This window comes from Homo sapiens, chromosome 1, assembly GCF_000001405.40.
Source record: "Homo sapiens chromosome 1, GRCh38.p14 Primary Assembly".
NCBI lineage: Eukaryota > Metazoa > Chordata > Mammalia > Primates > Hominidae > Homo > Homo sapiens.
Window position 1 is genome coordinate 14,281,122 of NC_000001.11, and position 2,392 is coordinate 14,283,513.

General features: G+C 44.4%; 1 protein-coding gene across 6 annotated transcripts in view; it reads left to right on the forward strand.

Moving 5' to 3' along the window:
- The window catches only part of KAZN (kazrin, periplakin interacting protein), a 1,225,220-nt gene that overhangs the window by 388,298 nt on the left and 834,530 nt on the right, over positions 1-2,392 (forward strand). The gene's annotated exons all lie outside the window — the stretch shown is intronic.

A 2,392-nucleotide genomic window follows, 5' to 3' on the forward strand; every position in this document is an offset into this window, starting at 1 on the left:
CTATGCCATGTCAAGAGGCCTCCCGTCTTGCTTGGTTTCCTTTGATCTAGTTGGTCAAAACAAAAACCCAACAGCCACTCTAGTTGGGTTTCCCTGGAAGAACTGTATTTGCCACCACATTGGTAAATCCCCCAACCCTGTTCATTCTTCACCAAATTGGAGGGGCAAAGGCAATTGAGGTGCACATATGTATTTGTTATCAGCAGCAATTTCAGTAATTACTTCTGCACACATAAAGCAAATCAGCTGGAAGGCAAACTGCAGCCATCTGACTTTAAACAAACTCAGTGCCGCTGAGCAAAACAAGAATCCCAACACTGCCCCTGTAAGGTCAAGGGTGCTAGAGACAGATACACCTGCATTATCACTCCAGCTCCCACTCCAAGCTCACTGTTCTAGCTCTGAATCCTGCCTCATGGTGTCCTGAAGTAAGGCCCATGAAGCAACTTGCCTAGAAACAGAACATTCTAGAAGGCTGATATGCACCCTTCCTTCTCCCACCTTATCTTCCTGGCATTTCCTCTATGCTGGTGATAGTGGTATGTTCTGGAGTCCTATGTTATTTCAATTCAAGCAACATTTTATCAAGTACCTTCTGGAAGAAAAGTACAGAACTTGGCATAGAGAATAAAGAAATGAACAACAGAGACCCTGCTTCCTACTGTCACTTTGCTTCCTGGAGCCCCAAAAGGCTCCCATGGGAAGCCACAGAAGACTGGTCCAGAAAACAGTTTCCACGAGGGTGACTTACTGTTCTAATTTGCCTGGGACTGAGGGGGATCCTGGGACTTTTGGGTAAAGTCCTGGGCAAACCAGGAAGAGCTGATGACCCCAGTTCCAATATCCCAGCCCCCCAGCTCCCCACACCTACAGTTTAAGGAATCAGTGGATCAGCTTAATTCTGTTTTTATCTCTTACATATAGTATAGTGAATTTCCAAGGGAGATTTTGTCTGGAAAAAAAATATTTTTGTTACCTGAAAAATAAAAGATAAAAATATTTGACATCTTTACCTTCTTATTGTATACTACGGGCTGTTTCTTTTACAGATGTTTTGTCCATACCCTGCACCAGATATGACTCAATCACTGGACAGGACAGGCACAGAATTTCTGCAGTCCATGAAATGGAGTCATCCATGCTTGCTTGGAACAGCTTACAATAATCCACAGTTGAAAATTACCACTGTCATTACAACTCCAACCTGAAAGATGTGTCTTAGGCCAGGAAGTCCCCCTCCTCTTACCTAGGTACAAGGACAAATCACTAATACTTATTCCTGAGAACACAGAAGCCATTGTCTATCTTCTAGACCCTTTGTGCCCAAGTGTATTCAAGCATCTTGCTCTGCAAGGGTGTTAACATGTATCCCTCTCATTCTGGGGATTCGGGGCCAATGATTCTCGTTACAGAATGCTCTAATTCTTTCCAAGACATTGATGCCCCCCTTAGCCAACACAAAGAAGCCCTGGGGCTGTGAACAGCCTTGCCTGCTTGGAGACCGACCCTCTTACCAAGGAAACAGGAGCTCAGCATGGTGTACCTCCAGCTCCTGGGACTTGTTTCACTGCAGAAGTCAGGCCAGCTTGCAGCCACCTCCAAATCTTCCTGCCAGGTTTCTTTTCTGCCTGTTCCAGGAGCTCAGGATACCTTCACAGTTGGTGAGGTTGCCTTGACACTGGCAACCACCTAGGGATGCCGAGCGCCCTTTAGGGAAGAATTCAGCCAGGAAGATAATAGATGCTAATGTCAGAAGGGGAGCCCTGGAGGGAAAGAAACGAGAGAGGATCACCTTGCAAGGAGTGGAGTGCTGTTTCTGTAATTTCCCCGTGGAATTTCGATCTGCCCTTGTCGAGAATGAGGTCAGACAAATGAGTTTATTTATTCTCCAGGGTGACTAACAGAATGGAAGCATTCGCAGAGCAAAGAAGGAGTCAGGAGCAAACCACAATTAGCAGTATTACCAGAACCTGCCACTTCCAAGCCAGATCATTTCCTTTCTTTCTTTCTTTGTTTTTTCCACTTTCGCAGACTATTAATTGGGCTGCAGCTTTTTCAGACAAAACAGTTCCCTAAAGTCTGACTCTTTCCTTCTGGATTTGCAGACTCTATCAAGGCATTTTGTCAAGTCCCCAGATTTTCAATTATTTTTTGAGGCTGAACTCCTGCTTGTCACAGCAGAAACAAACATGTTCTTAATTCTAAGAGGAAAACCCCCATTTTCTAGGGTTACTCCAAAAGAGGACATTGATAGAAGAGGCTACTGACATGAAGAGGAAATAACTCCACCCAATTAAAAAATGGGGAAAGGATCCAAACAGACGTCTCTTACAAAAAAATTCAAAGAGCCAATAAATGTATGAAAAGATGCTCAACATCGTTAACTATCAGG